The sequence below is a fragment of the Homo sapiens genome, chromosome 6 (genome assembly GCF_000001405.40).
Source record: "Homo sapiens chromosome 6, GRCh38.p14 Primary Assembly".
Classification (NCBI taxonomy): Eukaryota; Metazoa; Chordata; class Mammalia; order Primates; family Hominidae; genus Homo; species Homo sapiens.
This window is the reverse complement of record NC_000006.12, coordinates 99,398,050-99,417,796: the sequence shown is the minus strand read 5'-3', so window position 1 is coordinate 99,417,796 and position 19,747 is coordinate 99,398,050. Positions and strand designations below refer to the sequence as shown.

General features: G+C 34.7%; 1 protein-coding gene across 16 annotated transcripts in view, besides 1 other annotated feature; it reads left to right on the top strand.

Annotated features, from left to right (window-relative positions):
• The window catches only part of PNISR (PNN interacting serine and arginine rich protein), a 27,259-nt gene extending 7,512 nt beyond the window's left edge, over positions 1 to 19,747 (top strand). Inside the window, exons 2-13 of one of the 16 annotated variants that reach the window (NM_001322412.2) lie at positions 1,369 to 1,448; positions 3,111 to 3,225; positions 5,058 to 5,246; positions 6,833 to 7,056; positions 8,453 to 8,624; positions 9,526 to 9,716; positions 11,629 to 11,766; positions 13,095 to 13,194; positions 13,915 to 13,968; positions 15,087 to 15,257; positions 16,167 to 17,253; positions 17,486 to 19,747. In NM_001322412.2, coding sequence (NP_001309341.1) covers positions 3,138 to 3,225; positions 5,058 to 5,246; positions 6,833 to 7,056; positions 8,453 to 8,624; positions 9,526 to 9,716; positions 11,629 to 11,766; positions 13,095 to 13,194; positions 13,915 to 13,968; positions 15,087 to 15,257; positions 16,167 to 17,253; positions 17,486 to 17,516 — 2,445 coding nt within the window. In that variant the 5' untranslated portion in view covers positions 1,369 to 1,448; positions 3,111 to 3,137 and the 3' untranslated portion in view covers positions 17,517 to 19,747. The other 15 variants (NM_001322410.2, NM_001322406.2, XM_005266912.5 and 12 more) reach the window with 15 other exon arrangements.
• Positions 14,603 to 15,802: an enhancer, noted in NCBI's record as "CDK7 strongly-dependent group 2 enhancer chr6:99849871-99851070 (GRCh37/hg19 assembly coordinates)". NCBI's record gives its function as "activates an origin of replication core promoter dependent on BRD2, BRD4, P300/CBP, MED14 and CDK7 cofactors, with strong dependence on CDK7, by STARR-seq in HCT116 cells {active_cell/tissue: HCT116}" and the evidence as "EXISTENCE:reporter gene assay evidence [ECO:0000049][PMID:35650434]".

Sequence of the window (19,747 nt, the reverse complement as noted above, 5' to 3'; positions counted from 1 at the left end):
CGGGGGTTTCACCATGTTGGTCAGGCTGGTCCTGAATGCCTGACCTCAGGTAATCCACCTGCCTTGGCCTCCCAAAGTGCTGGGATTACACACGTGAGCTACCGCGCTCGGCCGATCACCTTTTTTTTAAAACCCCCTAATAGTTGTTAACTTGAAGAGTGCTACCAAAAGTGATGGTGGGAAAGCTCTAGTATTGATATTAATCACCACGAATTGAAACTTCTGATGCTTAGTTTTTATGTGTTTCTTATTTAATCCTCACAATAATCCTTTGGGGTATAGACATTTAGGTCTTCTGTTTTACAGATTGGAAAACCAAGGGTTAGAGCATAATTTACTTATGTTCACACCACTAACGAACGGATGTAGGTAGGCATCCTGAACCAGAGCCTGTGCTCTGAAGTCTAGGTGACAAGTGGTGACCAGAAAACTTAAAAGGGGAACTAAAAAAGTTGTCCATGACAACCATTAAACATGAGTAAGAAAAATAACCTTTATTTAGAGTAATTTCTGGAAAAGTAAATTTATGGATTGGGAATGATGGTAGGTAGTCATTATACATCATTTTCATCATTTAAATGGTTTTAGTAAGTGCACATTTTCAGTTTCAGTAGGCACTTTATAGAGCTGTTGATAATGTCTGTATTATATGAGTTTACAACTTAAGACAGAAAAATTATGCATTGAACTCTGATAAGCTGTTAAAGCGTTGGAAAGCACAGCAAGCTTTTTGGTTCTCATAAGTAGAAGTTAACAGCTTCCTCATCATTAGCCTTTAAACAGAAAGTAATAGCTAGACACTGATTATTTATTTAGTGTCTGCTATGTGCAAGATGCTTTCTTGTACCTTATTGAAGATAAAAGGATGAATAAATTTGTCTTTCTTTCAACTGTAAAAAGCTGTTGATTGAATAAAAAGGAAACTAAACCATTTCAGGAACAAACTGTTCTCTCCTTGCTAATGTTAATTTCTAAACATAGAATTCTATAGGAAAATTTAAATTAATACATTTTATTACCTTGTATCATCTAAGTTAATAATAGGTGGATGAGATCTTCATTTCAAATGTTTGTTGTTCCTTTTTTCTCAATCTCTAAATTGTTTGACATTGTTTTTTATTATGAAGGAATTGTTCAAGTAAATAAAAGATTTGGAAAGAAAAAAAGATGTTAAAAAGCTTTGCCTCTTCATTTCTGGTGTATCTCTTTTCCTTGATTTTATTATGATAAAATAATTCCCCATTATAAAGTTAATGCAAGGAAAAGTGACTAACTTGGAGATGATCACACTTATGTTGCATCTCTAGAATTTATTTTTATGTGAATCATGATAATCTATAAGCAGACATCTACTTTTTTTCCCCCTAGGGCATACATAATCTTGCTGCTATGCTTCGAAGCTGTAGTCTGAATCAACCTAAGTTTTAAACAGAAGGTGAACCTCTGAGGTCAGTTTAAATAGCAGTTGGTGTGTCTTCTTGGTGTTTCCTATTTATTTGTTAACTCTTAATTAAAGTTGTAAGCGAAGTTACTTTTCAAGGGCTCTGATAACCTATTTAGCCTTAAAGGAGTCTAAAGGCGTACTTGGGAAACTGGACAGGACAAAAAGGGGAGGAAGAAGGAAACACTGAACAGAGGTTAGAAAAAAATATATTTAACTTGGAACTGATACCCAAACCAGTTGTTGGCCTCATTTGTGCTATGTAGTGCCTATTTTGCCATATTCTAATAATGTCATTGTAATTGATTACATTAGTGTAACTTGAAGACAGGTACATTTGACTCATAAGTAAATCAAGGTGACAAAGAAATACACCTCCCATAACTCACAGTGTTCTTCATTTGAGGGATTAGTATCTGCCGCAGATAGAACTATACCTGTATGGCATTCTGGGAATGCTGCGAAGACTGGAGTTGGAAACCTTTAAAAGCCTGAATTGTAATCGCCAATTGTCCTATTAGAGTTAATATCTCTATTTTTTTTGTTATCCAACTTGCCTACTTTTTGTGATCCTGCAATACAAAGGCTTGCTTTTATCTTGTTTTTAGCATACAGGAAAGGATCAATCTAGAAGGATTCATTTAGTAAACATTTATTAAATGCCTGCTATGAACTAAGCCTTGGGATACAAAAATAAAGAAGAAACCATGCCCTGGTTATGTGAGTCACTGGTTCTTGAACAGGGTTGTGTATCAGTGTTGGAATAAAGTACAAAGATATTAGACTTGTAAGACTTTTAAACCTTTTATTAGGAATGTTTTCAGACTAGCTTACAGAAAAGTTGGGCTAGTGTGATGATTCCCCCCCATACCATCTCCTAAATTAATAGTTATTAACATAAAGTACCTTCCCTCCCATCTTTTCCATGCTATTTATATGTTAAGAAACCAGGTCTTGGAGGCTGTCTTACTTTCTGGATTTAATACCGTTTATCTCATTTCTTTATCCTTTAAAATTGCTTTATATTGGAAGTAAAATCCAAAAGCTCAGTTGGACTCAGTTAAACATTTTTGATGAGAATTCTTAGTGATTCTGGGAGCATAGTAGACACCTAATAATCTGTAGGGGTGATATTTTGGCAACCTTTGAATTTCTGATTTCTCATCAACTTTTCTTGTAAGGTTTCCTGAATTAATATTTTATTACTTTTGGCAATATGATAGTTTTCTAATTCTGTTCTACATTCTTCATTTTTTTAGCTGTAATTATTTATAAGGAAAAATTTTTCTTCATCTGCTGAAGCTATTTGGTTACTATCTTAAAGGAATCTTGATTGGGGAGAAATGAAATCACTTTTTTCCTACAATCTTCAAAATAATTACATATCCAGAAATTTATATTGTACAAAAAATAGAGTTTTTTTTAAAGTCTTTTTTGAGCTAAATTCATTGTGTTATGCTTGCCACCAAATTCTGAGACCAGCATTAACATAAAATTTTCTACCTCGTTTGGTACCCTAAAAATTCTAGTTGCCTCTGGCAAGCTATTGACAAGAATTTTAGACCTCTGATGAAATAAATGTATCATCATATAATAATTTCTGATGTGAGGTTTTAAGATTAAATAACTCACTATAATTTTTAAACTATGTTTAATTTATTGAAGATAGAAAATCAAGTATATTTTAAAAGAAGGGATGTGGGATCAAGGAGGACAGCCTTGGCAGCAGTGGCCCTTGAACCAGCAACAATGGATGCAGTCATTCCAGCACCAACAGGATCCAAGTAAGGAAACAAATTGAATTTGAAAGGGCGGGGTTGGATATGTGGAAATGGGTAGAAGACACATGATGGGATTAAGGGATATGGAATTGAGATTGGTGTACTGGATCATTTTATGGTCAGAATTTAATCTTCTCATAAATAGCCTTGCCATAGCATATATAGCAGGAAATGGACTTCCCTTTGGAAGACTCTCAAAATGTAGAAAGCTTTTTGAAGATTTTACATTTTTTAAACTGATTTAGTCCTTGTTTTTCTAAAGAAAGAGAAAAGCCTAAAATATGTTGCTTATGGAGAACACTTCTGTGAATTCTGACTCTTAAAGTTGTATATTATATTGAACTGGATGGTGTGCTATATCATTTTAAAATTTCTTTTTGCTGTGGACTATTTCAGGCACACATACAAAGGTAGAAGAGTATAGGGAGCCCTTGTTTATTATTTAGCTTTAACAATTGTTAACTAGTGGCCAATTTTGTTTCATCCGTAAGACCACTTACGTTGCTCTGCCCTCACTGGATTGATCTGATGCTATTTCTTTTTTTAATAGCCATGTATCATTCTATTGTAGGATTGTACCATAATTTAACAAAGCCACTTTTGGGTGTTTTGTTATTTAAAGTTTTTCACTTTTTGAAACAATTAGCATAATCTTGTGTACATATTGTTATTCACTTGTCCAATTATTTTCTTATTAAAAGAGCTAGGTTTGTTAAGTCACGGTAATTTCAGGTGCACATTGCCATGTGTAACCCCATAGGGGTTATGCCAGTGTTTCAAACTGAGAATACCTATTTAATCTTCATTAAAGTAAGATGCAGAAAAACATATCTTATTCTACTTTGTTTACTTTATTAATATTAGATCTTAATGCATTTTTGGGTGGACTTGCAAAATAAAAATTATTAAAAAGATCTTGAAATGTTAAATGTAGATGCTTGGGAAGAGAGGCCAGGTGCGGTGGTTCATGCCTGTAGTTCTAGCACTTTGGGAAGCTGAGGTGGGCAAATCGCTTGAGCTCAGGAGTTTGAGGCCAGCCGGGGCAACATGATGAAACCCCATCGCTACCAAAAATGCAAAAATTAGCCAGGCTCATAACCCAGACTCTACATGGATGGATGGATGGATCATGGATGAATGGATGGATGGATGGATGGATGGATGGATGGATGGATGGATGGATAGATACGTAAAAATTTAGAAATTAAAAAAATGTATCTTGGGAAGAGAGTCTTCAAGATAGTGGGGAAATGAATTTTGAGTAAAGACTGGCTAAGAAGTTGTAGCCAGACTACACTAGTCATGTTTTGGCTAGAGAAGGGAGCCTTATTTAAAGAAGGGCAACCATAAGGAAAAACAGAGTTAGGTAGCTGCTCTCATCAAAGGCCTATAGGCTCGAATGCAGGCCTGGAAAGATAAATAGGACATGTTGAAGGAAGAAATGATAGCGTTTGATTATTTTTGTGGTGATTTTTTTTTTGTAAAGGTGATGACATTTAAAAATTCAGTAAACTAAGATGCAGGGGATAAATTTTATATGAATTAATATTAGAAATGGGTTAAGAGTGTTTTTTGTGGAGTTCTTTCCTGAAAGTGTAAGTAGTTTATATTATTTTTTAGCCTGAATATGGGTTATTTGCTAAGTACCCTTTCAGACACAGTATGCTTTAATATTTAAGATCTCATTCAAAAAAAATTTTTCTAATTTCCCTCATACCCTCTCTGTCTGAAATATTTAAGATCTAAGGAATAGTTGAGCTGCTTATTTTACATAGAGGCACTATTCTTTTAACTCCTACATTCTGAATGCTGAAGTCAGTGTTAATTTACGTTAGGCCAGATTGATTGGGCTGCATTGGCCCAAGCTTGGATTGCCCAAAGAGAAGCTTCAGGACAGCAAAGCATGGTAGAACAACCACCAGGAATGATGCCAAATGGACAAGATATGTCTACAATGGAATCTGGTCCAAACAATCATGGGAATTTCCAAGGGGATTCAAACTTCAACAGAATGTGGCAACCAGGTTTGTTGTTTATGTTTTCACAATTTTAAGACTTTTAAAAAACAGAATGAAGATTATTATTAAATTTTTTAATTTGCTTAGTTGTATGACTTCTGGAAATTAATGCTTCTTAAAGAATAGGCAGTTTTCAATTTGATTTGACTTTGACATTTTGTGGTTAAAATTATTCTGTACTCATTCTGCTAGCTTTGTGGCACTCAGTTTGATTCTTTTCTTGGTTCTTCATTCCTAGGCTGACAGGGGCTGGGAACACTCTGGAAACCTCACTTGGCATCTAGGGAAGAGAGCATTCTTTGTCTCTCTATTGCAACCTCTGGCCTTTTCAGAAGCAGCACTGGCAGAGTAAAACATGTCTAGCCTCTAATTAAAGAAAAATTGTGTCACTGTGTGACAAATTAGTCTGTCAAATATACTCTGCCCCTACCATCCGCCTACCTTTTTCTTCCCTTTTTTTTTTTCAGATAGTGAAGATCTTTCATAAGTTTTTGTGTGTTTTACTTTTTTGTTTGTTTTATTTCACAGTATGATGTAGATTTCTTGATGCTAATTCAGTCTTCCATGGCTTGTGTTATTCCTTTTTAATAGTCACTTGAAACTATGGAGGAATCAGCCTCTCATTTGGGTATGCTGATGGTGAAGTCATAACCTCCTTTCCCTATTAATACTTTTTGTTTCTCCTTATAAGAATGGAGACCTCAGTCGAGACCAGCCTGGGCAACATAGCAAGGCCCTGTCTCTACAAAAAAAAAAAAAAAAAAAACCTTAAAACTTAGTCAGGCATAGAGGCGCATGCCTGTAGTCCCAGCTACTTGGGAGGCTGAGGTGGGAGGATTGCTTGAGCCTAGGGGATTGAGACTGCAATGAGCTGTGATCACGCCACTGCACTCCAGCCTGGGTGACAGAATGAGTCCCTCATTTAAAACAAACAAACAAAAAAAACGAGAATTCAGATTACTTTTAAAAACATAAATATTCTAGTCTTTGATACTGTGAGGTGGTTCATTTCTAGCTTTCTTGAAAGTGAAATTTCCCCACATTTGAAAATGTTTTAGTTCCTAAGTTTAAGTTCTTAAATGACTCCCGCGGGCATCCCTACCCCTTAGTTTTACTCTACTTTGTGACCCTGGGCAAGTGATTTACCTCTGTGTGCCTCGATTTTCCCTCCCGAAATTGGCAAAAATAATACCTAATTTCTCCCTACCTCACAGGGATGTTGTGAGGATAAATGTGTTCGTGTAAGAAAGAAATTATATAAAACCTCAAGGTATTATTTTTGTGGTGTTGTTACTAAACAAATATAAAAATTCAACAAAAATAGTGCTTTGGATTTTGTTACATTTGTTAAAAATAACTTTGGGCATTTGGTTAGGATATGAATTAGAGTGGAGTTAGCTCATTTTGAATTATATATGACAGTTTAGTTCATTGCTTATTTTTAAGATAAACAAAAGGAATTTGACCAAGAAGTCATAAGTTGTTTTTTAAATCTGTATGTTTACTGAAAAATCTTTCTTGAGATCTTAAAATTCTGTGTTGATTTTGTTATAACCGCCTGTTGAATGTTTTTATGCCTAAATCTTAAATAGAATGGGGAATGCATCAGCAACCCCCACACCCCCCTCCAGATCAGCCATGGATGCCACCAACACCAGGCCCAATGGACATTGTTCCTCCTTCTGAAGACAGCAACAGTCAGGACAGTGGGGAATTTGCCCCTGACAACAGGCATATATTTAACCAGAACAATCACAACTTTGGTGGACCACCCGATAATTTTGCAGTGGGGCCAGTGAACCAGTTTGACTATCAGGTGAAAGATATTTTGTTGCTTTAATATTGTAGATGTGCACGTAATCCATTCTTTGGAAGTGTCTCATCAAGAATACCTAAGATACGTGTTTCACTTTTCAGACTTGTATAAATAAGCACATTCTGTCTCAGTTATCAATTTTTGAGTATTAAAATAATTAGAATTTGTTTTCTGATTTTTTTATTTCATTAGGAAAATGGTATAAAAGATCATTACGGAAAACTTTTGAAAAAATTAAAAATGTATAAGTGCAATAGCTATATGATGTTTTATTTTCTAATTTATATTTCAAAATGGTATATTTAAATGTTAAAGACTAGAGAATGCACAGTAATTGAATATAGCTCATGGTTAAGACATGAATAAAAAATATAGATCATTTTCCTAAGTGTAATTCCTTGTGCTATGTAGAATTATGACTGTTTTTCTAGTGTCATTTTTTTTCCATTCTGACATGACATGTTAATGGAATTGTATATAATTTCCTCTGTAGCATCCAATTCATTCCTAGGGACATAGAACTCTGTGGGGAATAGTGTTGTATGTTGGGCTTTATTTACTTCATTCCCTCTGCCAGGGTCTACCCTTAAATTATAGTGCTAGGTGTCATTTTGAAATAACTGATTGCAATTATTAACTTATAAACTGCTATCATAATTTAAAATTTTGAAAGAATTATTTCATGAATTCTAGGGTAGATTTGATAATGGACATCTAGTATTCACCTTGAGATGGTAATCCTCTCATTAATAAATATTCAGATACTTGTATACTTGGTATACAGATACAACAGTTTTTATGTTGTTTGAAGAAATATAATGGCAGGGAGCATCTGCTTACCCTACTTTTGCATGGTAGATCCCATGTAAACAAGACAAAGAGCTGTATTGGCAGCTGGCCTAGAAAAGCCTCTGAAAATAGCAAAATTGCAGAAAATATTTAATGATTCATTAACTTCTATCTTTGCTTATAAATGAATATATCTGCAAGATTATAGAAACAGCTTAAGTTGTTTAGTTCACTTTTTGTTCACTGTAAGTAGGATGTTGAAATTGACAAAAATGTCTAGTTAAAGAGAAATTAGTATCTATTTGATGTCTTAGTGTTGGTAGGATTAGCTTGTAAATGGATTCAGAATGAAAAATTTCATATACTTCTTGAAAGTAGCTTATCAGCTGGCTTTTAGAAGCCTCTTTGCATTTACATAGCCGGAAAATCTTAAGACAAGTAAGCCTAGGTTCTTGGGACCATAGAAGTATCGGTGGATATTAGAGCCATGGAATTCTTGGATGTGCTGCACACATGGATTTCTACTGTCCCAGTTCATAACACACGTGTGTCCCAGAGAGTATATTGTATTAATTTGAAGAAAAAATAAACTGCAATACTCTTTCAGCATGGGGCTGCTTTTGGTCCACCGCAAGGTGGATTTCATCCTCCTTATTGGCAACCAGGACCTCCAGGACCTCCAGCACCTCCCCAGAATCGAAGAGAAAGGCCATCATCATTCAGGGATCGTCAGCGTTCACCTATTGCACTTCCTGTGAAGCAGGAGCCTCCACAAATTGGTAGCTATTTAACTTAGTTTAGTGGACCACAATTGGCATGACTTTTTTATCATATAAAAAGGATGTCTTGTTTTCTTAAAATTGTTTGAGTATCTCTGATGTGTTAGGAATTGACACTTTATTTTTTATGGTCATAAAGCTTAAAATTACAAAAATGATACTGGTCTGAAATTAAAAGGTTTAAATAATTTTATTTAAACCTTTACATTAAATTCCAGATTTTGTGATGAAGTGAAAATTTATGCTAGCCATAGCATGTTGGTATTTTCTTCAGTGTAGGCATTTCAGTACATTATACAGATATATGAGCCCTTCTCCTTTTAAATCTAATTGTTCAATCTCTGTCCACTCTTAGTTCATCTGATGCACTGCTGTCAGATTAATTTTCCTCTGGTTATTTCACTTCCCTTAAGTATTTTGGCAGAAAATTTCAATTTTTTAAATAACATTATAGAGCCAGCCTATTTCAAGTGACAAATACATATTTATGCCACTTTATATCTGGAAAGTTCTAAATTGTTCAGTATTTAATGGACAGGAGCATTTGTTAATAAATCTTTACTTTTTACATTTTAGGAAGATTCTAACTTTACTCCTTTTTTAACTTACTAGCAAATCACTTAATTTTTTCGAGTCTCAGTTTCCTCACCTGTGGAAAAAAGTGGAGTAATAGTAGTGATCTCTGAGGGCTTTTGTAAGGATTAAATTAGATGATGGTTTAACATGCTTTCATTGTGTCCTGGCAGATTGTAAGCACTAGAGCAGTGGTCCCTGCTGTTACTAAAAGTGATGGCATTGAAGAAAGGCATGATATTTAATGGGATATTTTTTAAATTTACTCACAAGTTTGTAGAAATATTTTACTTAACTGACTTGCGTATATTTTTCCCACGTGAAACAGACGCAGTAAAACGCAGGACTCTTCCCGCTTGGATTCGCGAAGGTCTTGAAAAAATGGAACGTGAAAAGCAGAAGAAATTGGAGAAAGAAAGAATGGAACAACAACGTTCACAATTGTCCAAAAAAGAAAAAAAGGCCACAGAAGATGCTGAAGGAGGGGATGGCCCTCGTTTACCTCAGAGAAGTAAATTTGTAAGTAGAATCCCCAACATGAAACTCCATGTGAAAATCTTGGTTGTGTGAAAACTTTACTGAAATAGATATTTTAGCCTATAGGAAAGTATTAGAGTGATGTTCCTAAGATTACGTTCATTAAGTATATTGAGGATTCTGATTTTATATATGTGTTACTGAAGATACAGTAAGGAGAAAATGGGACAACAAGTTTATAAACACTTCATTCCAGAGAGCTGGCTAGATCTTGATAAACAATCTGTATTCATTCATTGTGGTACAGATGACTCCCTGGTGATAGATTATAAAACAAAGCTACATTAAAATAGTAATAGAGAAATAAAATCTCCCTCTTTTGAACATTTAAACATATACCTGAGGATGTAATAATTTTGATTGTTTTTGACGTGAGCACTGGAAGTATAACAACATTTTAAGTCTTCAAATCTTCCTCAGTTAGATGGCTTGAGTGGTTTAGGAACTTTTTTATTCAGCAGGTATGATAGCCACAGCACTGGCCAGTATGCAACTCAGGAAATTTGTCTGTCTTGCACGGCCATTTTCTGCTTTAGAAATAAGTCTCAAGAAGAGCAAAATAACTAGATTTTGGCAGGTATTAGTTTTGCTTCAATTCCATAAATTACTTTTATTTTTCCCAAAAGATCTATGCAAAATCTGTGTTTTTATTCTAGATGTTAAATAACAAAAATAAGAAGCAACAGAAAGACACTGCTAAAGGTTACTCTTTTTTTTTTTTTTTGTCTTTTTAGGCAGTTGGGGGATCAGGGTCTCACTCTGTTGCCCAGGCTGGAGTGCAGTTGCACAATCATAGCTCAGCGTAGCCTTGAACTCCTGGACTCAAGCAATCCTCTCACCTCAGCCTTCCAAGTAGCTAGGGCTACAGGCGCACACCACGACTCCCACCTAATTTTTGTATTTTTCGTAGAGACGGGGTTTCACCGTGTTGCCCAGGCTGGTCTTGAACTCCTGGCTTCAAATGATTCTCCCACCTCGGCCCCCCAAAGTGCTGGGATTACAGACATTAGCCACTCTGTCCAGTCTTTTTTTAAAAAAAAATCTTTACATGAAATAGTGGTGTTCCAAATTTTTTTTAAGCATCAAAAATTGTTTGGAAATTTTCCTTCCTCTTTTCTCCCAAATGCCTGTGGGATTGTGTTACATATATTTTTCCCCTGGTTCAGGTAGTCTTTCCACAGTAGTATTTAGGTGGTCATCTTGTCTTTTACTTAGTGGGATTATTAAAAGTGACTAGGGGACACTTCTCTGACAAAGGAAAGGGTCACATGCAATCTGGATCCTGAAACCTAAAACCATACAAAGACAGGAGACAAACTGCTGGCATTTGTTTAATCTGAAGTAGACCTCATTTTTATCTTTTTATTATGAGCTAAAAAGAAGCATGTTTTACTGAGTTTCAGGGCCAGCTGAGATCTTGGCCCTGAAAAATCTGATTAGAGATTTTTCATTTTAAGTCGTGCAACTTTAGGTAAATAGCTTAAATATATAGCTGTAAAAGTTATACTGAATAATATGTCTATGGTCCATTTATCCAAAGTTCTATAAGTGTCTCATTTCAGGCCCATTATATGTAATAGATAGTAATTAAATCAGTCTCTGGGCATTATGTTTTTCTGGGTATTTATAAAATAAGGTTAAAATTGACTAAGGGAAAAGTAAAATTGAAAAAACAATTTATTTTCCTAAGCCTTCTTGTAATCTTACATTTTTCCCAGGTTATACTTTTTAAATTATCAAATGAAATCTGTAGTAAATGTAATTTAGATAGCAGTTTCACTCATATTTCTGTTTCATAGACTTTTTAATTTGGGGTTTAAGATTTTCTGTATGTAAGATAAGGATTTTACATTATACACATGAATTTGGACTACCATACTATTGTTTTTTATAGGATAGTGATGAGGAAGAAGAAGACACTGAAAATGTTGAGGCTGCAAGTAGTGGGAAAGTCACCAGAAGTCCATCCCCAGTTCCTCAAGAAGAGCACAGTGACCCTGAGATGACTGAAGAGGAGAAAGAGTATCAAATGGTAGAATGTTAAAGTTCTTACTATGTACATGGATTTATTTCGTTTGCAATTTTTTTTGGAGACAATATTAGAGGAAAAAACAGAAACTAGAACTGCTGACCAGTATTATTAATTGAAGAGATACTCCTTTTAACTTAAAACAATTATAGAAACCTTTATTAATAGGGACTTTTTTAAATGTTTTGATTTCAGGCTGGGGTAATCCTAGTACTTCAGGGGACCAAGGCAGGAGGATTGCTTGAGTCCAGGAGTTCAAGACCAACCTGGGCACTGCAGTGAGACCTTGTCTCTACAAAAAATTAGCCGGGCATAGTGAGGTGCACCTGCAGTCCCAGCAACTCAGGAAGTTGTGGTGGGAGGATTGTTTGAGCCTGGGAAGCAGAGGTTGCAGTGAGCCGAGGTGGTGCCACTGCGTTCCATCCTGGGTGACAGAGTGAGACCCTGTCTCGGAAAAAAAAGAAAGAAAAAAGTGTTTTGAATTCAGTGTGTCTACTATACAGATACATTTATAATATTTTTTTCTTTGATCCGTATGATTTCGGAATATTTATTTATTTATTTATGGAGATGGAGTCTCGCTCTGTTGCCCAGGCTGGAGTGCAATGGCAGGATCTTGGCTCACTGCAACCTCTGCCTCCTGAGTTCAAGCAGTTCTCCTGCCTCTGCCTCCCGAGTAGTTGGGATTGCAGGTGCCCACCACCATGCCTGGCTAATTTTTGTATTTTTTCAGTAGAGACAAGGTTTCGCCATGTTGTTCAGGCTGGTGTCGAACACCTGACCTCAGGTGATCCGCCCACCTCGGCCTCCCAAAGTGCTGGGATTACAGGTGTGAGCCACTGCACCCAGCCTGGAATTTTGTTGAAGTTTTGATGTTACAGAAAAATGTTCAAGATACTTTATTCCTTGAAATGGCTGCTCTGATGTCTAAAAATATTTTATAAAATGGTTTTGTGGCTGGGCACGGTGGCTCACGCCTGTAATCCCAGTGCTTTGGGAGGCCAAGGCAGGCAGATCACTTGAGATCAGGAGTTTAAGACAAGCCTGGCCAACATGGTGAAACCCCATCTCTACTGAAAATACAAAAATTAGCTGGGTGTGGTGGTGCACGCCTGTAGTTCCAGCCACTTGGGAGACTGAGGCAAGAGAATCACTTGAACCCAGGAGGTAGGGGTTGCAGTGAGCCAATATCACGCCAGTATGATCCAGCCTGGGCAACAGAGTGAGACTGTCTGAAAAAAAAAATGGCTTTGCATTTTAATATTTTTGAAGATGTCACACTATTAGTAGCTATAATAATTAGAAATACTGTATAAAATGCTCTTTTTTAGATGTTGCTGACAAAAATGCTTCTAACAGAAATTCTGCTGGATGTCACAGATGAAGAAATTTATTACGTAGCCAAAGATGCACACCGCAAAGCAACGAAAGGTATATTTTGGTGTTTCTGGTTTTGCTTTTCCTGGGGTATTTTGGTTCTGATGACTATTTTGGCCTTTTTTTGTTGTCCTTGTTGGATTTCTACCAGATATTTGAATATTCTCTTGCATGTTTTAACTCTTAAAGATTAGATTCGTAGACACCATATTAAAGCTATACAAATATTTTTGTTTTATCTGACCTACATGAGTACAAATTAGCAATCATGCTGTTTTCCTCTAAAATGTATTGTGGAAAATTCCAGGTGTTCAGTTTATTTCACCTGATTTTTTTTAATAGATAACATGGCATTGTTGTGTGACTTCTGATACAGTTTATTTTGACTAATGAATTTTGAATTATCTACCTACAATTTTTAGTTTACCACTTATCTCTTACAGAAGCAAGTGATTTCCTACCCCTAGATTTTTAGTAACACCTTAAAAATGTATTGAAAACAAAAATTAAGTTACATGTCATAATCTCAGAAGTAGACATACAGATATACCTGTCAACATTTTTTCTCATTATAAACCAATTTCAGCTCACATCAGAGTTATAATTTCAAAGCCAGACATGATACTGGTTTAAAATGAATGTTATGTTTTTAATGTTTCTTCTCTCCCCAAAAAGCAGCAATAGTAGTAGATTTAACAATACCATAGACTCATGACTATGAAATCGTGGCTATTTGTGTTAACATGTTGTTCCTGTTGTTGATGTGATACAAAGCTCCTGCAAAACAGCTGGCACAGTCCAGTGCACTGGCTTCCCTCACTGGACTCGGTAAGTGTTTTCCATATTTGTGAGAGGGCCTAAAGGGAAAAATCACACATACATTGTCTCTCTGCGTGTTCTATTTTGAAACTGTATTAGTCCTACTCAGTTTATAAAAACCTAGGTCTTAGGGTTATGTCATCCTGTCTAAAAAGGTTTGCCTATTTTTTTGACTAACGCATTCACAGTGAGAAATTTATAAATGTGATGGTTAATTCATAGTTTATTGGGGCAGGTTATATTGGAAGATTTCCTTATTGCTCCAATATATGCATTTTATATATATATAATTATATATGAACACCTATAGTTTGTACTTAATAATTCATAATTTAGCCATGATAGTATCTAAGCTCACTTTCAGAATTATTGCATACATGCCTTAGGGAAGAACCTATCCACTAATGCTTTTAATAACTTACATAGATTGTGTTGCGGCAAGTCAAGTTTTAATATAGAGGAAAGGGTTTATCTTATCATAGTAAAATAGTAGTGATGTGTTCATAATTTACTATTTGCATGGTATATTATCAAGGCTGTAAAAGCTTGAATTTGCCTTTTCCACATCTTCATTTCAAATTAATTTTTGTGAGGACCCAGAGAAGTGGGTAGAACCAAATGCCCATGTGGTTTTGTTATGGTTATTTAGATCATTTCAGGGTGGGGAGTATTTTCAGCACCATAATATTTCTGTACCAGGGAGATTATAGTATTCTAATTTTTTTAGGGAAAAATTGCTTAGCTCTAGGGATTTCTAAACTTTGAACAATAAAAGTTAATTTTAGAAATACTTTCAGGGTCATCATTAAGCTTTAGCGTGGCTTTGTTACTGCCCTGTTAAGTAGTTTTGTTGGTTAGTATGGACAGTACAGCAAACCCATTATCATTCCTTTACAGTGAGAAAAATATGAAATAGTCCAGAAAGAATAAGATATTAAGTAACCTTTGCCTGAAGGTTCTGTGAACTCCTTAAGCGTTTGAATGTATACTTCTCCCCACCCCGAATAAGCGTATTCTTCTGGGAAAAGGCAATGAAAAAAGAAATGAACTTTCTTCTCAGACCTTGAAAAGTTTTTAGTGCATAGTATAATTTTTTTCATATGATAGACTGAGCTTTATGCACACAGGTGGACTGGGTGGTTATGGATCAGGAGACAGTGAAGATGAGAGGAGTGACAGAGGATCTGAGTCATCTGACACTGATGATGAAGAATTACGGCATCGAATCCGGCAAAAACAGGAAGCTTTTTGGAGAAAAGAAAAAGAACAGCAGCTATTACATGATAAACAGATGGAAGGTGTAGTATACCTTTTAGACTTAATTTTGGTCCAGTTTTGTATTTCTTTTTATTTTTTAACTAACCTAAAAATATCAAAGGATAAAATAAAGGCTATATTATAAATAATATGTGATATAACTGAAACTAAAGTCACAATTTTTGTTTGGTTGTTTTAGGAGCCATTTATTGCAGTGGCTATAAGCCAAGCTATTTAGGGTATTTTTATTTCTTGCTAAAAGTCTTGAAATGAAAAAGATGACTTTTGAAATGGGAAAAATATATTTGTAAGACTATTGAAAAGTAATTTGTAGCTAGGATATATAAGGATAATAGAGAACCTAGAAGTTTTTTACTTAAGATACTTTACCTAATACTAGGAATAACAAAAGAGAAAATTTACTTAGAATTTCTTCTTTGAAAAATCTAAGGTAATTAAGAGTTAGCAGCTAAGACTTCTCTATAAACCACTTACTTACCTTTAAAATTTTGCTTTAGTTGGACAAAAGGGAAGTCTTTTCCTACTTGCCTCACACCCACCTCTACATCTTGATACTGTATTTTGCTACACTGTCCAGGAGGGTAACGTAACTAACTACAAGCTATAGAGAACTTGAAATGTGGCTAGGCATGTGCTGTGGGTATAAATTACATGCTAGATTTCAAAAACTTTACTTGAAAAAGAGAACAGAATTTTTTTAAATTTATTATGTGTTGAAATGATAATATTTTTGGTATATTGGGTTATTTTACCTGTTTCTTTTTACTTTTTTAATGTGGTTACTAAAAAATTTTGAATTACTTACATGGCTTGCATCGTAATTCTATTGAAAATGGTGTTCTATTGTTACAGTCTGGTAGCTTGACATTTGGTAGTATGAGAATTTTACATGAACATTTTCTTAGTGTTTTTGTCTTTTTCTGTTTCAGAAGAAAAGCAGCAAACAGAAAGGGTTACAAAAGAGATGAATGAATTTATCCATAAAGAGCAAAATAGTTTATCACTACTAGAAGCAAGAGAAGCAGACGGTGATGTGGTTAATGAAAAGAAGAGAACTCCAAATGAAACCACATCAGTTTTAGAACCAAAAAAAGAGCATAAAGAAAAAGAAAAACAAGGAAGGAGTAGGTCGGGAAGTTCTAGTAGTGGTAGTTCCAGTAGCAATAGCAGAACTAGTAGTACTAGTAGTACTGTCTCTAGCTCTTCATACAGTTCTAGCTCAGGTAGTAGTCGTACTTCTTCTCGGTCTTCTTCTCCTAAAAGGAAAAAGAGACACAGTAGGAGTAGATCTCCAACAATCAAAGCTAGACGTAGCAGGAGTAGAAGCTATTCTCGCAGAATTAAAATAGAGAGCAATAGGGCTAGGGTAAAGATTAGAGATAGAAGGAGATCTAATAGAAATAGCATTGAAAGAGAAAGACGACGAAATCGGAGTCCTTCCCGAGAGAGACGTAGAAGTAGAAGTCGCTCAAGGGATAGACGAACCAATCGTGCCAGTCGCAGTAGGAGTCGAGATAGGCGTAAAATTGATGATCAACGTGGAAATCTTAGTGGGAACAGTCATAAGCATAAAGGTGAGGCTAAAGAACAAGAGAGGAAAAAGGAGAGGAGTCGAAGTATAGATAAAGATAGGAAAAAGAAAGACAAAGAAAGGGAACGTGAACAGGATAAAAGAAAAGAGAAACAAAAAAGGGAAGAAAAAGATTTTAAGTTCAGTAGTCAGGATGATAGATTAAAAAGGAAACGAGAAAGTGAAAGAACATTTTCTAGGAGTGGTTCTATATCTGTTAAAATCATAAGACATGATTCTAGACAGGATAGTAAGAAAAGTACTACCAAAGATAGTAAAAAACATTCAGGCTCTGATTCTAGTGGAAGGAGCAGTTCTGAGTCTCCAGGAAGTAGCAAAGAAAAGAAGGCTAAGAAGCCTAAACATAGTCGATCGCGATCCGTGGAGAAATCTCAAAGGTCTGGTAAGAAGGCAAGCCGCAAACACAAGTCTAAGTCCCGATCAAGGTAGTATACTTTTTAAAGTATTTTGTCTGATTTTTAAAAAAAATTGACTGAATTTATTCAAAGTTGAAAGTGTCCTTTCTCTCTCTCTTTAATAAACTCAGTTTGGTACTTGATAAATAATCATAGTCTTAAATGTTAGAAATCCTATATAATATTATTTATTTAAAATTGCAGATTTTTAATTTAAAATACATTTTTATTTTTAAATTTTGTCTTTTCCCTTTTTTTTCAGATCAACAACCCCTCCCCGTCGTAAACGCTGAGGAATGATGTGGCAAGAATGCCATGATGTTCTTTAAAAAAATTCCATGAGTTTTAAGGGCTTGTCTCATTATAGAGGCACATTGTGGCTGTGTAGGTGAAACCAGAATCTTTTTTTTTTTTAATCTGTAAATAGGTGTACTTTTTCCAATGCTGCTCCAAGTTACTTAATAGGATTTCTTTGTATTACGTTTTTTTCAAAAAATATAGTGCATAATAAGACTATAAACATGCCATTCTCTTTCAGCTGTAATGTTCTTAAAATTATTCTTGAATGTACTGTGATGTCAATAAAGCTCTTTAGTTCATTTTTGTTAAACTCTTGCACCTTAATTTTATGGTTTTAATCTAAGGAACGTACTTTTATAAAAAGGCAGCTGGAATTTTGTATAACAGGTTTTAAAGGTACCTTCTCTCACCTCCCCCAAAGAAAATGGTTTTTACTTAATAGTTTGTCAAAGTTTGTAAATTGTACCCATGGACTTTTGCCAGATTCCAACTTTAAGGGTATGAAAGAGGGCTAGAAATAGACCTTTACTTTTCATTTGGAAGTATTTGACAACTTTCTAAACTTTTCTTCCTATTTTGGGGATTTTCAAGTAATATATTCTCTGTGTGTATAACGTGTGGTTCACTCCTGTAAAATGAAATTGCTGGAATCAATCAAGCCAGTGCACCAGTAGAGTTATTTGTAAGGAACGATTGTGTTTGACAGTAATAGTCAAGTCTGGAACTATATTCTACAGTCACCCACTTCTGTTTTAGAAGCATTTTGAAACACTTTTTGGGGTTATAGAAATAAGACTCATGATTCAATATATTTATTTATATTTTTAAAGTATAATATGACCTCAAATCAATGGAGGAATGCTGTATTATGCAGGTTTGTGTCAATTTCCTGACATTAAAATTGTCTGATTTTGTCCGTTTCTTAAAATTATGATTAGTGAGTGGTCTAACAGTTTAAGGCATTGATAACTTACAAGTAGAATGGGGCTCTCAAAGCATTTTAACTCAGTTGCTTTAGGGTCCATTTTTTTATGTAATCACTTACTCAGTGATAAATGAATCTCTGAAAACAAATGCTTTTACATTTTAATTTAAAAAGAAAACAGGTGCAGGCCACAGAAAAGTTTTAAAGTATGCCTTCTTACCAGCAATAGTTCATTTTAAAAATCATGCCAGATTTTTGCCAAGATCAGTGTTTCCTCAACATGAAGATAGAAATAGATTTGTATAGTGTGCTCTTGTACCTCTACATAGATTATTATATAATTTTGAGCAGTTACACATTTATCTAAAGGAAATAAATCAACTGTGAATAAATGCATGTTTACCAAAATGGCTGTTTACAGTGCATTTAGTTCTGATATTTATAAAGATGACATTTCACAGAATAACTTTAAAATAGTTTGAAATTCTATATAGTTTAGACATCGATCACATCTGGAGACAAAATAAAATGTGCAATATTTTTTATGTAGGCGAGCTAACACAGTGTACCTAATTGCAGAATTATCTGATTAATTTGTAATAGATAAGTTGTATAACATTTTCATATCTTAAAATGTTTTTTAGATCAATCTTGAAGTGAAATATTTTCAAAATAAAATTCTACAGAAAAATTCTGTTGGCTATGATATGCACATTTTTGGGCAAGTTATGAACTAGAGCCAAAAGTAGTATTTGACAGTTTTATTTACTCTGCCGTAATTTGCAAGCTTATCAGTTAAGTCTGTAGTTTTTTTAAAAGCCGTCATGATATTTGTGATTATTAGTACATAAACCAGTGTTATAATTTGATATTTGGGTTTTTCAGACTTTTAGTGGCAGATTTAGAGAATTCTTTATTTTCTTGACATGTGATATAGTATTTATTTACCTTGAGTGGTAAGGTTTTATAAGGTAGGGTTTCCATGATTTAGGATGTGAATGCAAAAACTTACACATAAGTTAATTAGATGTATAATTTGGTTATGAAATCTTTTCTAAAATAATACCACCAGAAAATTAACAGATCAAATTTTTGAGACAATCCTTGGTCTGGATTGGTTAATGAAAATGTCTTGTTTAAGAGGTTCTATTAAAAAATATTTCTAGTGTATTAGTCATAATTGTTTTTGTGGAGTGGGGGTAAACCACACCATTAAGGGAATAAAATGTAATTTGAAAGAGGTGATTATAAGATTTGTTTCAGGCCCCAAAATATAAATAAAAATTGGTGTGGAATCTC